This window comes from Homo sapiens, chromosome 4 (genome assembly GCF_000001405.40).
Source record: "Homo sapiens chromosome 4, GRCh38.p14 Primary Assembly".
Classification (NCBI taxonomy): Eukaryota; Metazoa; Chordata; class Mammalia; order Primates; family Hominidae; genus Homo; species Homo sapiens.
The window spans coordinates 166,781,235-166,808,591 of record NC_000004.12 but is presented as its reverse complement, the minus strand read 5'-3'; the positions used below and the strand labels follow the sequence as shown (position 1 = coordinate 166,808,591).

Genomic DNA, 27,357 nt, shown 5'->3' with positions numbered 1-27,357 from the left:
TTCTCATTGTTCTAGAGGCTGAAGTCTGAGATCAGAGTGCAAGGCAGCATGAGGGAGTTTGGGTGAGGGCTCCTTTCCTGGTTTGCAGATGGCAGCCTTCTTGCTGTGCCCTCACATGGCAGAGAGAGAGAGAGAGAGAGAGAGAATTTCTTCTTTGTGTGAACCCACAGTCCTATCACATTAGGGCCCCACCTATATGTCCTCATTTAACTTTAATTACCTCCCAGAGACCCTATTTGCAGATACAGTCACATTGGCAGTTAGGGCTTCAACATATGTGTTTGGGAGAGAAATAATTTAGTCTATAGCAAGGAGAGAGATGGTAGATACCAAAATCAGCTACTAAATCAACTAGAGGTCAGTGACCTTTTTGAAAAAAACAAGCAAACAAACAATCACACAAACAAAGAAACAAAAACAAAGGGGCAGCTGCAAAATTTCACATCTAACAATGCTCATAGTTCTACTTGCTCCTACTAGAGGAATAAAAATGCTATGACTGTGCTTTTTCTGTGTTTCAAATATAGCTTGAGTCCCTGTTAAGGTAAAATCTACTCTGGAAATATGCTGCAGGGATTCTGGAAATGTGATTTAAAGTTTTGCAGCCTTTTAATAGAGAACATAGAAAGATAAAATGGTCCCTAATTAGAAGTAGTTATTATGTCATTGACATGCTATCAAAACTAGTATAGAGAAGAAAAATCTCAAGAAAACTGTGAACTTCTATGGAAAGAAAATTTAGGAGCAGAGAAAATATTATGTAACTCAAATGCCATCTGAGATCAAGAATTGGAAAGTATATATAATCTAGGAAGGAATACAAATAGTAAGAATTTTTTCTTCTTACCTGATAAATAGAAGAGTTGAAACAGATGATCGTTAAATTTTGGTTTCTTTTTTATAGTATGTGTCCTATTCAAACTTCAGCATTGGCAAAAGCAACTGGCAGAAACGAGTTTAATCAAAAAGGTATTGTTGAGTGCCTCCTTCACTCTGCTCAACTGGCAGCAGTGGTCTTGACTTCACATCATTGAATAAAATAATGAGACAGGTCAGGTTTTAACTAATAAACATTTGCTTTGCTTTATTAAAGAACACAGGACAAACAACAACACAACATGCATAGCAACAGCATGGTGAAGCTCTCAGTGCTCCACGCATGACTTTGCTAATCAGTCACTCTGCACTTAAACATGTAAGAAACTCCTTAAGTGACGAAGATGAGATAACATGATCCATCGTACCTTGAGAATCCACTGACCCTGTTCTTTTTTTTTTTTTTTAGGCTTTATGCATAGTCACTCAGTCCCAAAGCTAGCCATACAACCCTTTGAACATTTTATGTCCAGCTTCTGTTCTCCAAGCCAGCTGCATCACCTCACTACAGATTGCTTATTACTTGCAAAACTCAGCAACAAAGTATACATTCTTGGTCTAGCATACAGTGCTTGGCTGAATTCTCATTTATCTTTTATCTGATATAACTATAAAGTATTCCCCCTTTATCTGCAGTTTCAGTTACAGTCCTAAAATAGATGAGTAGTTATAATACGATACAATATTTCGAGAGATAAAGATCAAATTCAAACAACTTTTATTAGAGTATATTATAATAATTTTATTTTTATATTAGTTATTGTTGTTAATCTCTTACTGTGCCTAATTTATAAATTAAAGTTTATTATAGGTAGGTATGTATACAAAAACACAGTATATATAGGCTTAGTACTATCCTAGGTTTCAAGTATCTACTAAGGGTCTTGAAATACATCTCGCATGAATAAACTTGGGGGACTACTATACTACTAAAACTTCCTTGAGTTAGTGTTGTAAATATTTGAACCATAATTATAGGGATGTATACTTTAAGACAATGCATTAATAGTATGAAACACTAATAATCCAAAGAAACAATTGTGTTTTTCCAAATTTTACTAAAATGTTGTCACCTGCTTTACATAATACATTCACATATTTGATATATATGTAGGACAAATAGTGTTTAAGATTTCTTAAAAATACATTTCATTTTATAAAAAATAATATTTTCATGAGAAGCCTTGAAAATAGCTTTCTCAAATACCTATATTATATGTTGCCATAACACTGAAAATGTTGGAGAAATAACTTAGTTCATTAACATGCAAAATAGAAGCATCAATTGTAGGTTAATTGCCTGAGAAAGAAATAAACAATCTCCAGGGAGATGACCTTGTTAAAACAAAATTATTCACTTATGGTAAACTGTAAAATAGAAGATATAAAAAATGTAGCATTATGTATTGATTGTAATCAAAAAGCTTCCATAATTTATTATTGAGGCCTTGCCAAAGACTTGAGCCATGTGAAGTATTTGAGACACTAATAAATAACATTTTCTAATCTGTGGATTCAAATTAAAAAGTGACATACATCTAAATGTTTGTATATTGTTTATATACATGAAATTTAAATAGCAATGAGGTGGCAATTAAGAAAAATATTCTTGTTTTAACAATATCACATAATTTAAGCATTTTTTTCAACATTGCTTTTAAATAACATTACTTTTCTACAACTCTTAATTACCTTTGAATCCAGTGTATGGAGTATAAACTCATTAATGTTTTCTTGTGCTTTCCCGCAAACAGCAACTACACTTGAATGCAGTTTTAGATTAGACCTTTTACTATGTGGAAGAAAACTGGCTAAACTATTTAAATAGTATTTATTGTAAACAATTTTCTGACACGTGTACTTATGGTATTTTATGAACTTGAAAATTTGTCTGCTTGTTTCAGACTTACATATTTTGCTCTTGCAAAGCCAGTCAGTTTTTATTATGTCAGATGATTGCCAAGTGTACCAACCTTTGAGCTTATGACTTCATTTTTTACCCCACAGTAATTTTCTTAATGGCTACTAGAATTGATTGTAATAGCAGGCATGCCTTCTATCAATATTATGCAGAAGTAAAAGCAGTTCTTGGCAGGTTCCTGAATGGAATTCATCTGATTAAATATGCATTTTTTGATTACTGTCTAACCTTCTGCAACCTCTACTGTCTGTCTTTTGCCATTAAAGATTAATCTGCCAGTCTATCAGATAAAATAATAATCTGAATGGATCTGCATGACTTTACCTAATCTATCAAATCGTATCAGACTATTATTTTTACACATTGTAGGTATATGTGACCATTAAATTACCATCAAGTAGGAAAGAAAACCCACTAGAATGCAATGTTTGTTTTATATGTATTATAAAACATATTTTCTGGATATTTACAATTTGCCAGACCTACAAAAGAAGAATCTCAAGGAAAGTTTCTTTTAAAAAGAGTAACATTGTATTTTCCATTGTTTTATTCAGCCATCCATCCAATAATTTTAGAGATCTGTTTATTATCAGTGTACTTCTATTGTGAAAATTAGGTATTCATGAAAATATATAATAGGTGTAGTTCAATTTCCCTTTTGTGAAGTATCATTTATATAAAGGGCATATATTACACACACATATCCATAGAATATTATTGCCCAGAAGAAAATATTGTTCTGTTGTAATGAAAAAAGAAAGTGTTGGTGATACTAGATATTATCTCAATCTTGGAGATGCATATTGGTTGAAAGCATCTTAAATATCTAAATAAATTAACATATTTTCAGCTCTGGCATTTTTTAAACTTACTTGACTTTGGAACATTTCCTCATGAAACAACATACAGCACTCCACAGAATAGTAATTCTTAAGGATGTCTTGGGAAATGCTGTAGTAGAGTTGGCTGCCTAATCAGTGTATTTTTCTCAGGGTGGCTAGAGACAAAGGCATTGTTTCTAGACATAGCATCATCAATTGCACTTGGGGACAAAGGAAACATGTACATTTGGTTTTCCCATCACTTTATGCAATAGGCAAGTATGAGTGATTATTGTCAAGGAAATGTAATATTTAAGATTCCACAAGAAGCACATACAAAGATTTCTAAATGTATATGAAGATTTAAAATATATCTAAAAACATGTATTTGAGAAGAAGAGCTTCTTAATGTTCACAATGCAAGTTTTAGATGGTAACAATTACATCCTGTGACATTGTGATAATGTGCCTCCAGCTCAGGGCTTGTCTACTGTTATGGCCTGAATTGCATCATATGTTGAATCCCTAACCTCTTCTACCTCAGAATGTGACTGTATTTGGTGATAGGACCTTTAGGAGGTAAATAAGGTAATATGAGGTCACATGGGTGGGTCCTAATCCAATCTGATTCATGACCTGCAAAGAGGAGAAGATTGTCTTCTGCAAGCCAGACACCACAGGACAAAGAAAACCTGCTGACACCTTGGTCTTGGACTGTACCCTCCAGGACTGTAAGAAGATACATTTGTGTTATTTATCTTTCACCCAGCCTGTGGTACTTTGTTATGGCAGCCCCAGAATTCTGACGTCTTACAAAGCTTATACTTACTAAGAAACCTTACTACTACTCCTAAGCATGGATTGGGCCAAACCAAGCAAAAGGTCACAGTGCAATGCTGCATTCACCCCTTTGCCAATAAAAAAAGTCTTCGAACCCCCTTCATCCCATAGAAGCTGCTAGTGAACCCTTCTTTCTTTCAGTTTTATTTATTACTGCATGGTTCTGTGGTTTCTTTGAGAATATAGGGTAGCTATTAAAGTTAGAGAAGGCCTCTTTCTCTGACCAACTCTACAGTTAATTTGCATTTAATAAAACAGTAGGAACAATCATGTATACATTCAGATTAATTAGATAAGAACATCTCACTGCTCTTTCCAGAAATACAAATTAGTAATAACCCTAGGCATAAAATTTTAATAGCATTTTGGTTGCATTATTAAATGTCATAGATAAATTTAAGTTTTAGTGTCATGTTCCATTAGTAGAAAAGATCAGCAGATATTTGAAGCCACAAATATATTGATTCAAATGTTTTAGATTAAAAAGTGTGTTGGCACAAGCTAATATTCGTTCTCTCACTATCCTCAGGACATACATTGATTTATCTATGTTTTGCAGGACATTACATATTCCAACAAAGTTTGTCATCTTTAAGACGTTTGCCCGGAATACCACTTTTTCACTTGGTCTTGTCCCTAGTTGCTCCTGCTTTTTGAGAGACCTTTTTATAACCCCAAATGCCACCAGCTGTCAGAACATAATGAATCATGTATTACTACTGCCCAAATGCCTGCTCGGAGACTCATCTATTCAACTTGTACTCTCTAATGTCTGAACAAAATGCCTTCAGTACAGAACAACTCCATCCTTAGGCTGGTCCTCAAAAGGCAAATTATTTATGAATCAAAGTTTCAGAAATACTTGTGAACATCAATATTCTTTAATGGCTATAGAAATTGTACCTCATGTTTTAATAAAACTGCGTGATTTATAGCAATGCTGAGGACTCATGCTTTTACTTTCAGAATTTATCACTTAAAAATTTTAGTGTGGCTTTAATATAGAGCACACTCAGACTGAAATAATCCTTGGTAAGGAATAATTTTTGAAGATATATGTGCATGTGTGCTCATGTGTGTGTGCTTTATTTGTCAGAGAGCAATTGGAGACCAAGTTATCTGATTTTACACTTTTGTGCAACAGAAACACCACTACCGCAGACTCTACTCCAAATCTGTCCCTCTATGACAATTCCTGGAGGAATTTTTAAACGGAACTTTTTAAGAAAGAGCGTTTAGAATTGCTCAAATCTGCCCTGGAATGAGGCTTATGTGCATTTTACTCTAAAATCAGGCAATTAGTTGTAAGTTGTACACACACACACATATGTATGTGTGTGTATATGTGTGAACATATTTATTTTACATATATATCCTGCTTTAGATTTTCAGTTCCTCTTCATTTACCAGGCTAACCTTCCAGAATAGTGCTAGGGCTGAACATTTGTGACCCCTTCAAATTCTTACGTTCAAATCCTAATCCCCAAGCCGATGGTACCAGGAGGTGGGACCTGTGGGAGGTGATTAGGTCATAAAGGCTGAGCCCATGTGAATTTGATTAGTACCCTTATAAAGGAGGCCCAAGGGAGCTTGTTAGCCTTTCTGCCATGTGAAAACATAACAATAAAAAAATGCCGTCTAGGAAGGGGGCCTTCACCAGACACTGAACCTGCTAAATCTGCCAGCACCTTGGCACAGTATGCAAACTCTGAGAAATATATTTCTTTTTATAAGCCACTCAGCCAAAACGGCTGTTATTACAGCTGATCAAAAGAATTGCTGTTCATCAGGCCAAAGACATGCTGATCCTTTTCCCTTCATTCATGCTATTCTTGTCCCTTCAATCTTTTCCTAATGTCTTGAGCCTCTGCTTGTTTATTTTCTCACAAAGTCTTTATTCATTGATCTTTACAGACAGAAACTCAAATATACCTGCAAGCATTCAGCATCATTTACTTATTAGGCAGAAAATGTTTGCTTATTCTCTAATTTATTTTTTCTCTAATTTATGTGTTCTCGGTGTTTTGTACATGTATTGTCTACCTCAAGACAGTGATGGATATATTTTTTAATTTTTTGGGAAAAACTTTCTGACTTGGCTCTGTGTCGAAAACATATCTCACAATTGAACAGAATGTAGAAGCTGACATTTACTTTAAAGCTTCATGAACATATTCCTGGGAGGAATTCAGGAATCTCTCTGTTTCTGGCTTTCTTTCATTGTGCAGTGTCTGCTATTCTGTAGATTACACATTCTACATTTATTTTTAGTGAGATTGTCCTAGATTAATATGTAATTCCTGCCATTTATGCTACTTTATATTGGAGAACTTTTTCTAACCTTCATTGAGTTGTTTCAATTGCTACATACCTATACTACTTCATTTCTCAACAATTCAATTATTCATAAATAAATTATAAATAAAACAATGCACATTTTAAATATATTTGAAATATTTTCTGGAATTTAAATTTTGTATATTACAGAAACGAGTTGTCTATATGTATTGAGAGTCTTTAAATATTTATATTATTTGATCCAGTAACTGAATTTTTAAGGTTTTTCAAAGGAAACACAGTAATAAGATACAGTAATAATTTGTTGAATAAAAGTTAATCCTAGGTCTTTTTAATAAGCCCATAAACTAGGAACTATATTCTTGACACAATATTTATTGTGGAAATTTTTAACATGTTATGATATATTCATATAATGGAATTTTTGTATCTACCATATACGGTCATGTGTTGTTTGATGACAGGAATATATTCCCCTTTTTTTGGTAGGGAAAGATGGTAACTTAAAACAATAGAAATTGTTTTGAATTAGGAGTACCAGATGTGCTACCGAATACCTATGATTTGGACAAAGTAACATGATTCACTAGCTGATGGTGTTATAAAAGAAGCTGATACCCCCATGTTTGAGTTGATGAGTATGATCAATAATATATTTTATCATTTGTTATTGTGGGAGCATCATAGAGCATAGTTAAATCAATCTACATGATGTAGCTTACTATACACCTAGGTTATATGGTATAGCCTGTTGCTCCCAGGCCACAAATCTGTACATCATGGTAATGTACTAAATATTGTAGGCAATTGTAACACAATGGTAAGTATTCGTAAAGCTGAACATATCTTAACATAGAAAAGGTACAGTCAAAATATGGTATAAAAGATTAAAAATGATACATGTATATAGGACGTTTACCATGAATGAAGCATGCATGATGGGAAGTTGCTCTGGGTGTCACTGAGTGAGTGGTGAGTGAATGTGAAGGCCTAAGACACTACTGTAGACTCTAGAGACACTGTATATTTGGGCTATACTAAATATTTAAAAATATTTTCTTTCACTAATCAAAATTAACCTTGGCTACTGTAACTTTTTTACTTTATAAACTTTTAATTTTTTTAACTTTTTGATACTGTATATTTCCTTTAACATGCAAGCACATTGTACACTGTACACAAATTTCACTTTTGTTATATCTTTGTACTATAAATATTTTTCTATTTTTTATTTTTTACTTTTTAAACATTTTTTTGATAAACCTGACACAAACACACACATTCGCCTAGGCCTACATAGGGTCAGGATCATCAATATCACTGTCTTCCACCTCCACATCTTGTCCCACTGGAAGCTCTTCAGGGGCATTGACAGGCATAGAGCTGTCTTCTCCTACGATAACAATGCCTCCTTCTGAAATACCTTCTGGTATTCTTCTGGAGTACCTCCTGAAGGATCTGACCAAGGCTTTTCTTGAGGAGGTGTCACTCTTTTCAGAAATATGTCTATATTGGTTTGCTTGGTTTATTTCTTTTTTTAAATCATAAATTCGCTTGTAATCAGATAATGCACCATGAATATTCCTCTTTATTAATAAAGACCTTACAATCATGAGGTCCATGTTTTCATTTTTTTTTTTTTTTTTTTTTTTCTGAGATGGAGTCTCTCTCTGTCGCCCAGGCTGGAGTGCAGTGGCACAATCTCGGCTCACTGCAAGCTCCGCCTCCCGGGTTCACGCCATTCTCCTGCCTCAGCCTCCTGAGCAGCTGGGACTACAGGCACCCGCCACCACGCCCGGCTAATTTTTTTGTATGTTTAGTAGAGACAGGGTTTCACCGTGTTAGCCAGGATGGTCTCAATCTCCTGACCTTGTGATCCACTCACCTCGACCTCCCAAAGTGCTGGGATTACAGGCGTGAGCCACCGTGCCCGGCCATTTTCATACTTTTTAAGGAACTTGTTGAGGTCTGCAAAGCTTTCTGCTAAATCTTTCACTGTGAACTTTCTTGTCGGGGGGTTCCTCTTCTTTTTTCTTCTCAGTTCGCTTTTATTTTGCCTCTTTAGCTATGTGTTCCTGCTTCAGTTCCAACAAGTCCCATTAGTCAATTTCTCAGGAATGACTTCTAGGAGCTCCTCAGTGTCATCCTCATCTACACGCAGATTAAAGTTGTTTGCCATCTCAACTACAGGCTTGTTGGTCTTTGCAACCTTCTATTCTTGGAAAATTGTTTGAAATCATGGATGAACCTTTTAAGTATCTTCTTCCTGATGCCATTTATACACTCCTTCGCAACATCACCCTATGCCCAAGCAAAGTCCAGGATACAGTCACAGATGGCATAATCCTTCCAGAGTAGCCTCAGTATCTTCCGAATGTCTTCCTCGGTTGTAGCAATAGCCTGGGCAAATGTCCTCAGGTATTCGGCCTTCAAAGCTGCTGTTACTCCTTGATCCATTGGTTGGATGAAAAAGGTGATGTTTGGAAGAAAAAATCCTCACTTTGATATTGGGATGAAAGTCACCAATAAAAGGAGGCTGTGCAGGAGCATTATCAACAATAAGCCAAATCTTGACAGGTATGCTATTCTTCAAACAGTACTTCTCCATTTTGCTCACGTAGCAAATCAGACGGGCATCTTGGAAGAGGAGCTGGGTCATCCATAAACTATTGCTCCTGCAGTACACAGGCAGTGTGTGTTTATTGATAATAGGCTTGAAAGCCCTGGAATTCTCACTGTGCCAGATCACAAAGGGTTTCAATTTGTAGCCTGCAACATTGCCCCCAAACAAGACTGTTATCCCATCCTTAAAAAATCTTGGCATTAAATTGGCGTTCTTAGGGATGAAAGTTCTTTCAGGCATTTGTTTCCAGAATAGGGAGTTTTCATCCATATTGAAGATTTGCTCATGCAAGTATTTTTTTTCTGCACAATCAGCTTATCTGATTGTGGAATTACACAATCTGATTTTTGGAAGTTCCCAAAATTCCTCAGCTGCTGCTGTCACATCAGTACTTGCATACTCACCACTCACTTTTACATTATATAATGAATAACTATTCATGAATTGTTTAAACCACCCAGAGCTAGCAGTAAATTCCACATTGTAGTTGGGTACTGTCTTTTCTTAGAATATTGCAAACAAATTTTGCTTTGGTTATAATTATCATGGTGCCAAGAGGGATGTGTTTCTGTGTCTGCTCTTTAATCCAGATCATAAGAAGTTTCTCCGTATCTGATATAGGCCATTCTTGAATTTTTCTTAGTCTTGTTGCCTCCAAGAAGCAGATTCTCTAACAGCTTCTGTCACTTTGTTCTTGTTGTTGATCATAGCTATGGTGGAATGGAATATGCCTGCCTGGGGAGCAATAACCATCACTGGTTTTCCACCTTCATAGTTCTTAATCACTTTTCATTTAGTCTCCATGACAATCACTCTAACGGGCCTCTTACTGGCAGAATTAGCAGTGGCTTTTGCATTGTTAGGGGCCGTGATGAACAAAACAAGAGAGTAAATCAACTGAGGTTACACAATCAAGGGCTGCAGTAAACACGAGATGTGTGAGGCTTCTGTGGGCTTAACACAGCATACTGTCTTAATGGAAACTTTTTGCTTAGTAAGTAGGATTACACTCTAAAGTACTGATAAAAAGTAGAGTATAATAAATACATAAATCACTAGCATAGTTGTTTATTATAATGATCAGGTATTATATACTGTACATAATTATATATATCAGACTTTCTTACCACTGCAGCACAGTATATTTGTTTACAACAACATCACTACAAACATGAGTGATGTGTTGACATTATTAGACAATAGGAATGTTTCAGCTCCATTGTAATCTTATGGGAGCAACATTGTATATGATGTTCTTTGTTGCCCGAAACATTGTTATGCAGCATTTGACTGTATTTTGTTTTCAGATATTTTAATGACCTAAAAAATTATCATTTTATAACATAACGAAAAGGTGTAAAAGTAAATATTGTTTATCTAACATTATTCAAGCTATGTAAAATATGCATAGCAGATATACACAATAAATATTTTATAGTAGCTACTTATTGATTATAGTGTTAAATATACTGGTTTATTTTTATTATTGTTAATATACATTAGAATCTGCATTTACAAAATTGGCATCTCTTACTGTGTACTCAGAAAAAAAATAAGTTTTTAATACTGTTATAAAAAATGTTAAAATGTTTCCATCACTCATGTAAAGTAAAGTAGAGTTTAAAATTTCTAACAACTAGATGATTCATAATTGGCCTTTCAAATGAAAGAAGGAAACCATCATTATGGAAGATTACAGCCTAGGAAAAGGAAATAGAGATTCTTGGAAGGATATCATAAACTAAAAGTCACCAAAAAATAAATAAAAAGCCAAAAGAGTTCTTTGAGATTATGTAATTTCTTCTTGTTGTTTACATATTTGTAGCCAGGTTTATCTGAACATGTATTGAATAAAAAAGATCAAATAAAGCAAATATCAAAGCTTTGTTTAAAAAAAAAAAAAAAGCCACTTAGAAACATTGCACTCCAGCCTGGAGGACAGAGTGAGACTCCTTCTCAAAAAAAAAAAAAAAAAAAAAGAAAGGTGGAAATCCATGCCACTTAAATTATAAATATTTATTAATTCCCTTTTGTACCTGTCCCAGTGAGGTATAAAAATAGAGTTAATTCAAGAATATATGATTATCTGTACTTGAATAATTAAGAGTCCAACAAGTAATAAATCCTCCTTACTCCTCTTCAATCTGAAATAAACATTGTGCCATCAGAGCACTTTGTCTTATATTGTCATTTTCATGTCTCTAGGACATCGTGGCCCTAGGTAATGGGAGGATTGGAGTTGACACTGAGAGACATGTACTTTGGACTTTTCTTTGTGTAATGGACATATCTTGAAAGAAAATAATCACATTGGAGCCAACTTAAGCCTTTTTGCCTTAGAGTAATTGTATTCTGCCAGATTTTAACTGTACTACACTTATATACAAATCAATCCCATCAGGAAGACCATCAAAATTCCTAAACATTACATTGTTGGAAGGTGGTGGTAGCAAATATTTTTTATTTATGAAGAGTAAGGAATGATGTGTTGCATTTCTTCACCTCATAGATCAGACTTAGAAAAATCTCTTTACCAAAAATTGATAAGGGAAAAAATAATAAATTATGCCTGGTATTTTGTGAACTAAATTTACTGAATTTGTTTAAATCACCAATACCTATACCACTTCATTTCATCATCTGTGACATAAAGTATTATTTTTTAACATTAAGCAAAAATGAATGGTGACCTTAGAAGTGCTTTAAAAAACTTTATGAATCAAGCCTAGTAGAGATACGAGACAGCTTGTTAAATATACTATTGGAACAAAACTTAAAAATTTTCTGAAAGATAATGCACAATAAAATGCGGACTCTGCCTCTGATTTGAAACTTCCCAGAGCATCCCCTCTGCTTGGACCTCTGTATTTTCATCTGAGCTTCCTTATTGTATAACATAATCATAATTAACAACTCATATTGCCAGATATGAGTATATTCATTCTTTAATAAATTCATGTTCTTGATAACTACATTTAAGTATGTTATAGTGTGTCTTAGTCAATTTAGTCTACTAAGAATAACAGAATGCCACAGGCTTATAAACAACAGAAATTATTTCTCACAATTCTGGAGACTGGAAGTGCAAGATCAGGGCAGCACCAGCAAATTCGGTATCTGATCAAAGCCCAGGTCCCGGTTCATAGATGGCCTTCCTCTTGCTATGTTCTGACATGGTGGAAGGGGAGAAGGATCTGAGTGGATTCCATTTTAAAAGAGCACTAATGCCAATCGTGAAGCCTTTGCCCTCATGGCCTAATCACCTCCCAGAGTCCCTATCTTCTAATACCATAAGACTGTGGATTAGATGTTATAACATATGAATCTGGGGGAGCATAAACATTCAGTTAGTACAGTGTGTGGGAATGAGGGGACATTTTAAGAGATTTTTGTAATAGGCAGAGAGTTTTGTGCCTATTAAAATGTAAGAAATTATGTAAAAGTTTGACACCTGAAAAAAATATTTATTGACTCTCAAATACAACATGAAAATGATAATTACTATTAATAAATACTTCATTTATTAGTTATAAAATATATCAACTTTATTAATATTTAAATTTTATATTTATCAAATTTAATTAATTTCAGAAAGTGTATGGTTTAAACTTTCTAATTTGGCAAGAATCCCTGTTTTGGCCAATGGTTTCAGATAAATTATTGCCAATTTTAAAGTAAATCGGTTAATTATTGTCAAATGAAAATTAAATTGAAAAATTATTTAAAATGTTTTCAAAAGTTTTATACGTAAAGTATTATTTTTAATAATACTCCAAAGCTAAGATGTCCTGGGCTTATGGAAGTTACTGAAATGTTCCTGAAATCTCTCCATCAATTCTCATTACACATGAACCTTTCTGAATAATAAATGCTAAGAATCTGGGATGCGACTATACAGTATTTCTGTGTAGATATATTACTGATATACGGTTTTTTGGTAGGAAAAGATGTTAATTTGAAATAATAGAAATTGTTTTAAATTAGGAGTACCAGATGTGCTACCAAATACCTATGATTTGGACAAGGTAACATGAATTCACTAGCTGATGGTGTTATAAAAGAAGCTGATACTCCAGTGTTTGAGTTGATGAATATGATCAATAAATGTTCATTGTCTTCTCTTAGATCTCACCTCCATAGTGTACATGATGGAGTGCTATGCTGTTAACAAACTTGCTATTAAACAAGTGCTGAATACACAACATAGCGCAATTTAAATGAATGTGTTTGTATACATGTAGTATACCTGCACGATACATTTTTAAGAAACGGGCCGGCGCGGTGACTCACGCCTTTAATTCCAGCACTTTGGGAGGCCGAGGTGGGTGGATCACCTGAGGTCAGGAGTTCGAGACAAGCCTGGCTAACATGGTGAAACCCCGTCTCTACTAAAAATACAAAAATTAGCTGGGCCTGGTGGCGGGGGCTTGTAATCCCAGCTACTCAGGAGACTGAGGCAGGAGAATCTCTTGAACCCGAAAGGCAGAGGTTGCAGTGAGCCGAGACTGTGCCTCTGCATCCCAGCATGGGCAACAAGAGCGAAACTCTGTCTCAAAAAAAAAAAAAAAAGAAAGAAAGAAAGAAAAAAAAAAGAAAAAGAAACAATTGCTGGGTCAAGGGTTAGATGCATTTGTAATTGTTTTTTTAATTTTAAAAATTTTTTGTTGACTTTTGAACATTAATACAGCTATATAGTACATAATTCAAAAGGAGAAAGAGATGAATGGTAAAAATAAAACTCTCTCACACCACTTTCTTCCATTAATCCAGTTCCCTTGGTAGTTACTTCTTTATATAAATCCTTCTAGAGATATGTGACGCTTACACAAGTATGTATGCATATGTAGAATTCCTCCTTTTCAAGTAGGTTTTTGTTTTCTTGTGCCTATCCCTTTAAGGGGAGCAGAAGACCCATGTCAAGATGGCTTAAACAGAGACAGCAGGCTACAGTGTAAGCATTCATATCAAGAGTGTGCTATTTTTTTTTTTTTTTTTTTTTTTTGCCTTATCACCTCAGCCTCAGCCATGGTGGACCTTATCAGTAAAAGTGATGGTTTCTTTGATTTTCACTGTAGCTTATTGTTTTCCCTGGATGAAAGGATGGCAATGAATTCTGTACATTGCTCTGTCCCTGGCCAAGAAATCTCAATCTTACTGCCATCTTGCTCTGCACTGGGCACAGAGCACACACTCTGTAATTATCCTTCACCAGCTTCCTATAAATGCCCTTCACCTCTCTCTTCCATTAGTTCTTGTGACCCAGACATCCTCTTGTTGATTTAATCTCTGGTGTATCACATATTGTACTAGCATCCTGGGGAAAGATTGTATGGATGGTTAGTTTTTCAGATCCTGTATATGTAAAAATTTCTTTACCTTACTTTCCCACCTGATTTCTCTTAGAAATATGAAATAATTTTTATGTTGCTATGCTGCCTTTCAGTGTTATTTAAATATTGGAAGGCATTTCTGATTCCTTATTCTTTGTATGTAACAATTTTAGTTACCTTCCCCCATGGAAGTTTATGAGATCTTCATTTTGTCTCCAGTGTTCTAAAATGTCACAATGATTGGCTAATTTGGTCATCCCACCATACCAGGTACTGGGGGATTCCTTTTAATTTAGGAGTTTATTTCCTTTAGAGCAAGCTTGTCCAACTCATGGCCCACAGGCCACATGTGGCCCAGGACAGCTTTGAATGCGACCCAACACAAATTTGTAAACTTTCTTAAAACATTATGAGATGTTTTTGCATTTTGTTTTTTTCAGCTCATCAGCTATCATTACTGTTAGTGTATTTTATTTGTTGCCTAAGACAATTCTTCTTCCAGTGTGGCCCAGGGAAGCCAAAATATTGGATACCCCTACTTTAGAGCTAGGAAATGGTCTGGGATGGTATTACATCCAATTACATTACATTATGTTATTTATGATACATATAATATAATGTATATGGTATATATTAAATGTAATAAAACATACTATAATTGCATAATTTTTAATCAAATGGACAAATGAGTATTAGCATGAATTACTTGTTAGTTGAGGAAATTGCACATTTACAGCATGCACAAGGGATTGGTCTGCAGTAACAACGTCCTCTAAACAATGTAAATTAGTGGCTTTCAAAATATATTTTCAAAATATTTTTGCAGTAAATTACTAAATTTGAATGCTATATTTTAAGCCAGTCACACACACATATTCTGCTAATTGCTTATTGCATAAACTATTTTTAAAGAATATAATTGTTGATAAATAATGATATCTTTAAAAAACAAAGAGGAAGTTACTTTAGTTCCAAATGTTAAAGTTTGCCAGTACAATCTTTTTTCCAATAGAAACATTATAGTACTTTCTTAAATATTTTATAGTTTTTTCCTAATCACAAGTTATATAGCTGTTTCTTTTCTGTGCTTAACAAATATATAGCATTAAATCAAATAGGAACAGTATATATTTATAATAGTGCATTCCTACATATACTGAGTATATGAATAAATAATTATAAATTGTGACATCTTACAAGAGGTATGGCCAACAATAAATGTATAATGATCATTTTGGATTTTCAACCCTTTATTTTCTCTGATAACCTATCACCCCAGCATAAAAAAGTATTTATGACATAAATATTATGACTCAATTTTTGTGATGTTATCAATACAAATCCTCCAAGTGTCATATTCTAATGAAGAGCACAAGTAGAATTCCACTAATAATACTTCTTTATTAAGTAAAATGTTTTTGTCATATTACATCTTATTTTAAGGCATATATTTAACTTTGAAAAAGCTGAAATGCAGTCACACCTTTTTCTTTTAGTCGTTCTTACCTTTCAGTTTATTGGACTAATGAGAGAAATAGCACTAACATTATACTAAGATATTATTCAAGACTTGTGTTGTTTCTCTGTTTTTAGCATGCAGTGACCTGGAGTTCAGGGAAGTGGCAAACAGATTGCGGGACTGGTTCAAGGCCCTTCATGAAAGTGGAAGTCAAAACAAGAAGACAAAAACATTGCTGAGGCCTGAGAGAAGCAGTAAGATTTCTAAATTTGATCATTGCTACTGTATCTGTTATGAAGTTTTATTTCCAATGAACCACTTAGAACAAAACACATATTTCAGTATTTATTCACTGCATATATACTGAATAAAAATCAGAACGTTATTACTTCCAAGCACACCTGTATTATTTTGCAAGGAAATAAGGCATTTAGGACAACTCTTATTGGAGGAAAAGGGAATGTCTCCTCAGAGGGTGTTTAGCTTTCAGTAGACTAGAAACAATGGGAATATTCTTCAGTGTTTTATTAAGGTGGTAAAGAGTAGAACAACATAGAAAGTAAAGGTAAAAAATTGGAGTACTTAGATTTTTAAAGAATACAACAGAACTCCCCCGTATGGTAGCCTTTCCAAGATTACTTTGCTGGTGTCTCTATTTTGACCCTGTGTGAAATGGATCAGTAGACAAGAGAGGATATCTGCAAATTAAATAAGTAAAACACAGAAGGAAAAAAAAGAGCCATATACCTCTTACAATTTTTTTTAATTATCAGTATAATTCTCTAAAAGTTTTTTTAATTCCTTGGAAATAAGAAATACAAATTGAAATAGGGTACTTGTTATGAATAATTTTATAAACTTTTCATTTTATATTATTTTCATTTGTATAAAAATGTGTTTATCATGTAATGCATGTAAAAGGATATCGAAACACGGGCTGAATCTTTCAAAGATTGAAGCATGTGCTCCAAAACACAAGAAAAGGGGAAGGAGTAGCAATTACAAGCCACATCTCTTGGCTGACAAAGAAGAACCAGATGTGTGACATTCATCGCCTATCCTGATGTGATCCATCCACTCTCACCTGCTACCCTCAAAGTGCAGTTTCTAACAAAATGGTGTAGTAAGATAATCCTCTGTAGATTCCTAAAATGCCTTATTTATTTTTTTCACATTAAGGAATTTTCTACAATTTCAATCTATTTTAGTTATGAATCTAATTTACATAGTGAAATGATTTAATGCAGAAGTGCAATTAAGCCATTACTTTTAGATTAGTAATTGTCTTTGAATGCGTAATGACTAATCCATATATTTCTTTTTATGAATTTCATGAAGAAATTGTAGTATTTTTCATTTCCTATAGAAGAGTTCCTCAGGCTTATCTCTGGATTTATTGGTTAATTTTTTGGCAAATGTAAATATTTTGATGCCTTTGAGCTTTAACTTGCCTAATAGAAATAATGATTCAGTATATTTGCCTCTGTATTTATGAAGAAAAGATGTCTGGAGTGGGGAGAAGGTTTCTTCCATACCCTTACATATTGATTTTTTAAAGATTCATGTTCACACCTGTTTTTAAAATTCATATCCACTCCCAATATTCATAGATGAACATTTTTATTGCTTGCGCTAAAATTTCTCCTTTAACCTAAGCTTGAGTTCAGACTGATGCGCACTTCCAGATATGGAGATAGATAATGAAGAACATTTGCAACACTCAGCAAGGTGCCTGGGTAATTGTACACATTCACAAATATTTTCCTTTCTAGCTTTTTCTGTCAATAAATTCCATGTGTCAATAAATTCCATGAGACTCTCTAAAGGTAGTAGATTAATTATAAGAAACTTCTTTAGAGTTGAATATCTTTGGACAGGATCGGAAAAAGTGGGCCACAGGATTATGTATACTGCTTGAAGGAGTCAGAGACCAGCTAGAAAAAAATTTCCAAAGGGAAGTTATCCATTAGAATAGGCATGACAAATCCACAGACAAGAAATGGCTGGGTCCCTCGGCTCCCTCAGCTCCTCAGATCTGTGCACCCTATGGGTGAATTCTTCTTTGGGTCTATCTTATTTAATTTGTGAACCAGACCTCCTATATCAGACTCCCATCTCCTATTTTTATTTTCCCTTCAGAGCATTTATCAGATCTAATATAGTGATAATCTACTTGTTTATTTAAATGTCTCTGTCTCTCTCCCAACCAGAGTACTTAAACTCAATGTAGTAAGAGGTCTTTATTCACCACTGTATTTCCAGAACCTAGGATAGAGATTGACATATACTATTCACTAAATAAAACTGAAAGGAGTTAATGAATGAATGAAGCAAAGAAGCAATCAATATACTACATTGTGTACCCATACCATAGTTTAGTCACTCAATTAGTGCCCTAGGAATGATTATTGATAATATTCATTATTTTCATCATGACAGTTATTACTGTAGTCAATTTTTATGCTTTTATTTCTGTGAGAAAGATTACAAGCAGTGGAAGCAATGAGTCAAAATGTGCATGCATTTTAAATTACATAAGATAATAGATATTGCCAGACTGCTTTGTAAAAAGCTTACGGCATTTTGCATTTTTACCAGCAAGACATGAGAGTTAACTTTTCCCTGCATCCCTAATAGCAAAAAATATTACCATTCATTTTAACTTTTCCATTCTGATGAATATGCCATTATATTTCATTGTTAATTAAATTTGTATTTTATTTATTAGTAGTGAATTTGAACATTAAAAAATAGGGGGAACTAAAAAGCACAGTTTTCAACTTATCTGATATTAATGTTATCACCCCTACATTCCATTTTATCACATTTGTTTAATATCTTTGTTAAAAACTTTGATCAGCTTTTCTTTATTATATTCATTTAAGTGTCTTTCTTGTGAAAATCCATAGTTTGGTTTTGATTTTTTAATATGACAGTGAGCAAATGTTGGGGTGTTTTTGTTTTTGGTTTTGGTTTTGGTTTTTTTCTTTTTTTGAGACAGCGTTTCGCTCTTGTTGCCCAGGCTAGAGTGCAATGGCGTGATCTCGGCTCATTGCAACCTCTCCCTCCAGTGTTCAGGTGATTCTCCTACCTTAACCTCTCGAGTAGCTGGGATTACAGGCATGCATCACCACGCCCGGGTTATTTTGTATTTTTAGTAGAGACGGGGTTTCTCCATGTTGGTCAGGCTGGTTTTGAACTCCTGACCTCAGGTGATCTGCCCGCCTTGGCTTCCCAAAGTGGTGGGATTACAGGGGTGAGCCACCGCACCCGGCAAGTTTTTGTATTTTTAATAATTAAGGATGTGGTTAAGTCAACATAAGGCAGAGAAAAATATTCTGATAAGATATAGAATGTCTTCAGGCATTTTATACTGAAGCCAAATAAAAATGTATTTTACAATCTCTTATTTATAGCAGACAAAAAATCCAATAACATTGTGTCATTTTAATAAAGAGAGAAAAATCAAATTTTGGGTTTGCATCAGTATTATATTTGATACTATTGTTAAAAATCTTATAAGAAATCTTTTAAAAATTAGCCAGCATTGATGATGAAAAAATGTTTTTCATGAATCTTTTATAATTTTTACATTTTATTCATTTTTTACACATTTTTAGGATGATTAGTCATTTTCTATTAAGATAGCACTATAGTTTTTTAAAAAAACGTCTTGTATATCTTGTTTACAAAGTTGCCTTATGTCATGATTTTTCCTAAGAAAATCATTTATAATTTTTTGTTATAATAATTTTCACTTTATAGCTATAATTATGAGGTGGATAATTGTAAGGTTTGTCAGCATTTTGTAGTAAATAAGCAGATATTATGAATATAAATTTTATACATTTTTAATATTCATATACTTCTTTATAGTATATCATTTTAATGTGGCAAGAATGAACATGTTTATTAACAGAGCAAAGTATATACAGCTTCTCTAAACTATAAAAATAAGAGATAAAAAGTATATAAATTACAAAGCATGCTTTTGTGTTTTATCTTTTTAAAAATGTTGTAGATGTTAGATTAGATAGTGATTGAGGAATACCTATTAACTAACTTAATCTAACATACCTCTAACATTTTAAATTGCCAAAAGTTCTTGGAGATTTTTTTAAGTTGGCTTTATTGAAAAACATAATTACTGTTGAAATAAAGCTTGTCATCTACATGATTTAATTTGGTTAAAAATAAATTTATGATTTCTGGGTTTTTTTGTTTGTTTGTTTGTTTGTTTTTTAAATGGAGTCTCACTCTGTTGCCCAAGCTGGACTGCAGTGGTGCCATCTCAGCTCACTGCAACCTCCGCCTCCTGGGTTCAAGCAATTATCCTGCCTCAGCTTCACAAATAGCTGGGATTACTGGTGTGTGCCACCACACCAGCTAACCTTTTGTATTTTTAGTGAAGACGGGGTTTCACCATGTTGGCCAGGCCAGTCTCAAACTCCTGACCTCAGGTGATCCGCCCACCTCAGCCTCCCCAAGTGCTGGGATTACAGGTATGAGCCACTGCTCCTGGCCAAATTTATGTTTTTTATAATCTCAAACACTTAGTAGATATAATGCTAACAATTGCATCAGTATACCTATATATATTTAGGAAAAATATATCCAAATAGAATAATAATGTAAGCTATGTTATATTTAATGCTGATAACACTAGAATCATCACTATGTTTTATTAAATAATATAAAACCAGTCATTTTCGCCAGTCTTTTTAAAATTATGTGAATTGAATTTTTAAAACAGAGTTATTCTTAGTAACCCTATGCCTAATCATTCCATTTTCATATAGAAAACGTCACAGTAGGCCTGCATAATAATGTATAAAAACGCTTGTTTGTGTTTTTTATTAAATGTTGTTTATTTTATGATTTTACTTAATTTTAAAATTATTTGTTATTGATGCTTAGTGAATAGAACTATATATTCTTGAATAGTAATTAAAATCAGAAAATTAACCAAATCACCTGTTTCTTCTAACAGCAATCTCTATTTTTATTAGTTATTAGTTACAAAGTATTTTGTGCTTATTTATATTTAGTGTCAAAATAGTGATATTATGTGCAAACATGCAAGAGAGAGCCAAATCACACGTTTTTCTGGTTGTACAAAGAATGTTTAAATGCTAATATCTATTGTTTAATGTGTACAATATTACCTTTGACTTAGATCTTTGTCTTTTGATGAATCTTTATCTCCAATTACATTTAAATTATTAACGTAATGTTCATTAAAATGGTCATTTTTACTATCTAGAAATACCATAGAGCTTGTTTTCTATAATATTAGAATACGTGTGAATAGAATATATAGTTTCTTAAAAACTAATTCTCAATATTTACATCTGTTTGGTCTAACTTTAAAGACTAGCATACAAGTGGAAAGTTAATGAATGACTTCAAGAGGTGCATCTGAGCTGGTGCTGAGCTGCTTGGCACATAGGAGGAGAAAGCAGAAAGGATGCTAACATGTGTCTTCTTTGTCAATACTTTATCTCCTTAAATAATCTTAAAAATTCAGCACTCCGTTTCCCTGCAAAGTCTTAGATACGTGATTTTTCCAACCCCAAATATAGGGCAATAAAGGCCATAGGTACAATCCAGTAAAGTTGGCTGGAAATAGTGGCCACGACAAGGGCCAATGCTTTGCCAAACATTGTTGAGCATGATTACAAATATTAAGTTGAACCTTATGAAATTACCAATTTTGGAACTACAAAACAATAGTTTTTAGAGGTCAACCTGACATAAGTCATCTAAGAATTGACTACTTGTTATATTTAAGTTAGTCTTTAGACTTTAACCTATTTTCTGTCCCTGAGTATCACATACCTTTTATTTGTGTTTAATTTCCCAGTTGTGTTATAATAGGTAAGAATACAAATTAAGCCATGATATTTTTTTCTCTTTTTCCTAATCTCATGATCCAGGATCATAATCTCATTCTTAGTATTTATATCCTAACTGCATGGCAGCTAGTGATCCTTACGCTGAGTGCAGAAGGGTAGCATACTCTCTAACTTCATTTGTTTCCTAATCATAAGCCAGACTGCTAAAAACTGTGAGTACAGATTACTCTTAGGGACTAACCATTGCCTGCTGACTTCTCTGTGACTTCCAGAAAGTGTTGTAGAATTTTTGATTAATATAATTCTTCATAGTAAAGGCACATCCTTCATATTTGTCTTTTACTTGTCCTAGAACACTCTTCCCCCAGGTATCTGTATGGCTCACTCCCTCACTTCATCCAGCTCGTTGCCCAAACATTCCTCACTAGGTGCCTTCCCTTCCACCCCATCTAAAATAGCAACAGCACCCCAGAGCATTCACCTCCTCTTTATGTTGCTTCATTATTCTTTCTAGTAAATATTGCTACCTGATATATGAATGTTTACCAGCTTATTTTCTCTCTGTTCCAAATAAAATATAAGCACTCTAAGGTCAATAGTTTTCCACTGTAGAACCTGCAGGCACTAGAAAAGGCCTTGGCATATGGTAGGGACTCAATAACAATTTGTTGAACGAACAAACCAAAAAGTCTAATCACAAATTGTTACCTGGACAATGTCCTAACTTCAGAAGAGTGATAAATTAGCCTGTAGCTGCTTGCTTATATTTGCTACATAACATAGTTTCCAAAAGGGCAAGATTCTGATGATAGCAGAATTGGATTAAAAGGGTAAAAGCTTAATGAAATTTAAATGGAAAGATATTTTGCTTTTTCAAAAAAGTCAATGAACCTTGAAAGTGGAATATAGTTCTACAAAGAAAGGGGGATTTTCTAGCTTCACATACCATCAAATCAACATTGCTATATATTTTGCATTAGTTAACATTTAAAATATAATGAAATATATAGTCTTTTTAGTAGCTATTTTAGTAATTATACTTAACTCTTAAACACATTATGATAGTAATCTGAGATTTTAATCAACCAAATTGTATTATAGCATTTGCATAAAGAATTCCACAGTCATTACTCAAGAATTGTATTTTACTTGAATCTTGGACAGTGTAAATATTTCATAGCTAAATGATTTGAGTTGACAAAATGGTCAAAAATGTCATAGCTTTAAAAAATGGAGTTTATACAGTCTGTCATTATTTTTTAACAATCGACACCTAATTTTTATTTTATAAAATCAGGCTTCTTGAATATATTTTGTTTGGATTTACTTTAGAGCTATCACTGAAAAACAAAGGAATGATCATAGAAAAGTAACTAAGATGGTAAAAATCTTAAAATATGTTTTACGATAAGAAGTTGAAGGAAATGCAACTATTTAGCCTCTCATCCTATTATCATTAGCATGAAAATGCTTGGTGATGTTTTATTCAATAAGAATATGTTGTGCTTACTATTATCAAGATACCTTGATTTTATTTTATTATTTAAATCTCCAAAAATTGCATAGCAGAAATACTATACCCAGGCTTTTAAAAATATGGCTGCAATCAAGAATACATAATTCTTGAAAGTGACATTGTACTAATTTTCCCTTTAACAATTTGGAGAGCATCAGGACATTAGCATCATATGCAAAATCCCCAGATTAGCAGAGTCTGACTAAGATTAAGATAATGTCTTATATCTGCTTTCCTACAAGCCAAATGTTCTCCTCAGTCGGAGAAAATGATAGAATTATGTAAACCTTCAGGGTAAATGAATACATTCTAATTTCTTACCAAGATACTGCTCACTTTATGTCATGCTGTCTTCACATTAAGAGAAAGACTGAATGTGGAATCAGATGGTTTAAAACAATGCCACATTTTAATGCAATTAGGAGTCTTCTAGGTATAGCAGGAGACTTCATCTTTTGGAAACAAAATATTTGAGAAGATTAGATAAATTTTCTTATTTCAAGTAATAAAATGAGAGATCCATATCATTGCTTATTTTGGTTCTAATTATTGAGACATCTGGCATTTTATTCTCTTTTATTCTGTGGACTCTTAACTCCTTATAATAAAATTTAATTATATGCTTAAGTATTACTAAGGTATTGTCTTAAGATTTGTATATTTTAATTTTGCTGAAATTATACGATTCATATATAGCTAAATTAACGTAATCACATGTAGTTTAAAAGTATTGCTATAAAATAAAAGTACTAAGTGATTGATGTACTGCAGTAAAATTATTTTGTTACATTATCGTGTCCTGAGAAATTACTGCATTGGATCTGCTAGGAACCAAACTTTTGGTTATCCTTTATTCTTTCTTTAGGAACTGTATTATTCCAAACAATGGCAATTGCTATCAGCATTGGCTATTTTTTAACATTTCTCACTGGGTGAATGAAATGTTGTCAACTTTATTACATTCTGTTTTCAATAATGTAAATATTTAATTTCAAAATAAAGCCATGTAGGGTGTTAAGCAATTTTAGCCAGTCATCTGAACTATCGGAACCTATTCAAAATGAAACAACACCTCCCCCCAAAAAAAAACAATGAAGAGGTTAAGAAATCTGCAGAAAAATAAAACAAAACAGAAAATTTTATGTTACCACATATATTTAGTCAATTATAGTCAATTATAAACATTATTCCTGTTAAACTTTACTCCAATGCCAGTTGAGTAATACATAAAATCCTTGAATGTTTGCAAAATAGGTGTCTTAAAAGCATCAAGAAGTGATAGTTAAAACCAATAGAAAAAGTATACATAAAAACAAGTAAAATAACTTAAAAAAATTATTTGGGGTTGTTTAATGAGAAAACATCAAGGACTGCAGTCCTTGAACCATATGCTAGCCAATACAAAAGCCATTAATTTTATGATGATTCCTTTGAGACATTAATGAGTGTTAAGTGATTTTCAACATATCACAGCAAGGAAGAATCCATATAACATTGTATATTTTCCATTTTCTTTATTTTTATATTTTGTATTTTGATTGTGCAAGTAATGCATGCTTATTTTTTAAAAATAACACGTGGAGGTATATTAAGAGAATATCTTTTCACCAACTCCATTCATTCCCTTTTTTCATGAGGTAGAAAATGTTAGCAGCCTGAGTTATATGGTTTTCCAATACTGCTTTCTTTTTTTTTAGACAGACTCTCGTTCTGTTGCCCATGCTGGAGTGCAGTGGCATGATCTCAGCTCACTGCAACCACCACCTCCCAGGTTCAAGCAATTCTCCTGCCTCACCCTCCCAAGTAGCTGGGATTACAGGCATGTGCCACCATGCCTGGCTAAATTTTGTATTTTCAGTAGAGACAGGGTTTTGCCATGTTGGCCAGACTGGTCTTGAAATCCTTACCTCAAGTGATGCACTCACCTCGGCCTCCCAAAGTTCTGGGACTACAGGAGTGAGCCACCATGCCCCACCAAATCTACTTCATTTTCATACAAAGATATGTACTTACAGAAACAGACCTATTTTTAGCAAATATAAGCTCATACTATGCACAGTATGTGCCAGCTTGCTTATTATTACTGTTTATTTTAACCTTTTAACACTTCATTGTGTTGCAAATATTTTCTCACTACATCCTTTCTATTTTGACTTTAGAATATCTCTTAGTTCATGTTCTTTAAGAAAGTCTTTCTCACAAAAATACTGATTTGTATATTCTCCTAATGTATATATTTTTTGCACTTAAATCTTTAAACCTATTTACAATTTATTAATGTGAGCTCAGATTCTGGCAATAAATTATGTACCCTTATTGAATTAAAAATAATATATTTACAGTTAATTTATGTTTATTCTTATGCTTGCATTTTCTTTTTAAATGCTACCTATTTTTTCATATTTCTTTCTGTTATTGATTTCTACTGTAATTCTGGTTAGTTTTAGTATCAGACTTTGAATGACTTTAGTTCTTTAAATTTGTTGAGGTCTGTTTTATGGCCCAGAATATGTCCCATCTGCACATAAAAGGAACATGTATTCTGTTATTATTTGTTGGACTATTCTGTCAATATAAATTATGCCAAGTTTGTTGACAATGATTTTCAGATCTATACCCTTACTCTTTTTCTATCTACTTACTTTAGTGAGTACTTTTAGAACAGCGTTGATGTTTTCAGATGTAATTGTCTATTTCTCTGTTCAGTTCTATTAGATTTTTTCTCAGGTATTCTGAAGACTCTTTTAAGATACATTATACATTTAGGGTTACTGTATCTTCTTGTTGAACTCTTTATCATTATGTGATGTATGTTGGTTAATGGGTACAAAAACAAGTAAAAAGTAATAAGATCTCATGTTTGATAGTACAGTGGAGGAACTATAGTAAACTCTAATTTATTGTGTGTTTCATATGTTTCAAAATAACTAGAGAAGAGGACTTGGAATGTTCCCAAAACAAACAAGTGATAAATGTTTGAGATGACAGATACTCCAATTACCCTGATTTGGTCATTATTTGTTGTATATTTGTATCCAAATATCACATATCCCATAAATGTGTAAAGATATTATATATCCAGAAAACTTAAAAAATATTCATTTTTCTTTTTTAAAATATATTTTCACTGGGTAAAGTATACTGGGTTGAGAGCTTTGTGTTTTGTTTTGTTTTGTTTCAGCATGTTACCCCTGTCATGCCGCTGTTTCTGGCTTGTGGGTTTCAGCTGACAAATCTGCTATTTTCTTTACTACTCTGATGAAATATGTAACTATTTTAGAGATGTTTCTCCTCATCACTCTTTAAACAGTTTGACGATGGTGCATCTAGATTTTGTTTGTATATCTGTTTGTTTGATTGGTTGGTGTTTATTCTGTTTAGTGTTCTCTAAGATTCTTATCTCTGTGGTTTGATGTCTTTCATTAATTTTGGAGAATTCTAAATTAATCATTGAAATATTCTTCGACCCCATTTTTCTCTTTCTTCTTCTTCTGACATTTTAATTACTTCTCTCTTAGATTGTTTGATAATAACCACAGCTCTATTAAGTTCTGTTTTCCTCCTACTCCTTTTCACCTTCTTCTTCTTCCTCCTTTGTCTTCTCTCTTCCTCCTCCTCCTCCTCTGTTTTATTTTCTTCTCTTTCTCCTTATCATCCTCTGCCTCCTCCTCCCAAACAATTGTATTTGTTTCTTTCCTATAGTTTCCATCTCTAGTTTTAATGCAAGTGTTCGCCATTTATACTACAGCCTTTAACTTATTAATCATTGTAATTTTAAAGTATTTCTCTGATTATGTCTAAATCTGTTATTTCTAATC

General features: G+C 33.3%; 1 protein-coding gene across 12 annotated transcripts in view; it reads left to right on the top strand.

Moving 5' to 3' along the window:
- Positions 1–27,357, top strand: part of SPOCK3 (SPARC (osteonectin), cwcv and kazal like domains proteoglycan 3) — a 501,562-nt gene that overhangs the window by 426,354 nt on the left and 47,851 nt on the right. For 11 of the 12 annotated variants that reach the window (XM_017008258.2, XM_011532018.2, NM_001251967.2 and 8 more), the window contains one exon: positions 16,303–16,422. The exons of the other annotated variant lie outside the window; for it this stretch is intronic. In XM_017008258.2, coding sequence (XP_016863747.1) covers positions 16,303–16,422 — 120 coding nt within the window. The remainder of the gene's footprint in view (positions 1–16,302; positions 16,423–27,357) is intronic. 12 annotated transcript variants of the gene reach the window in all.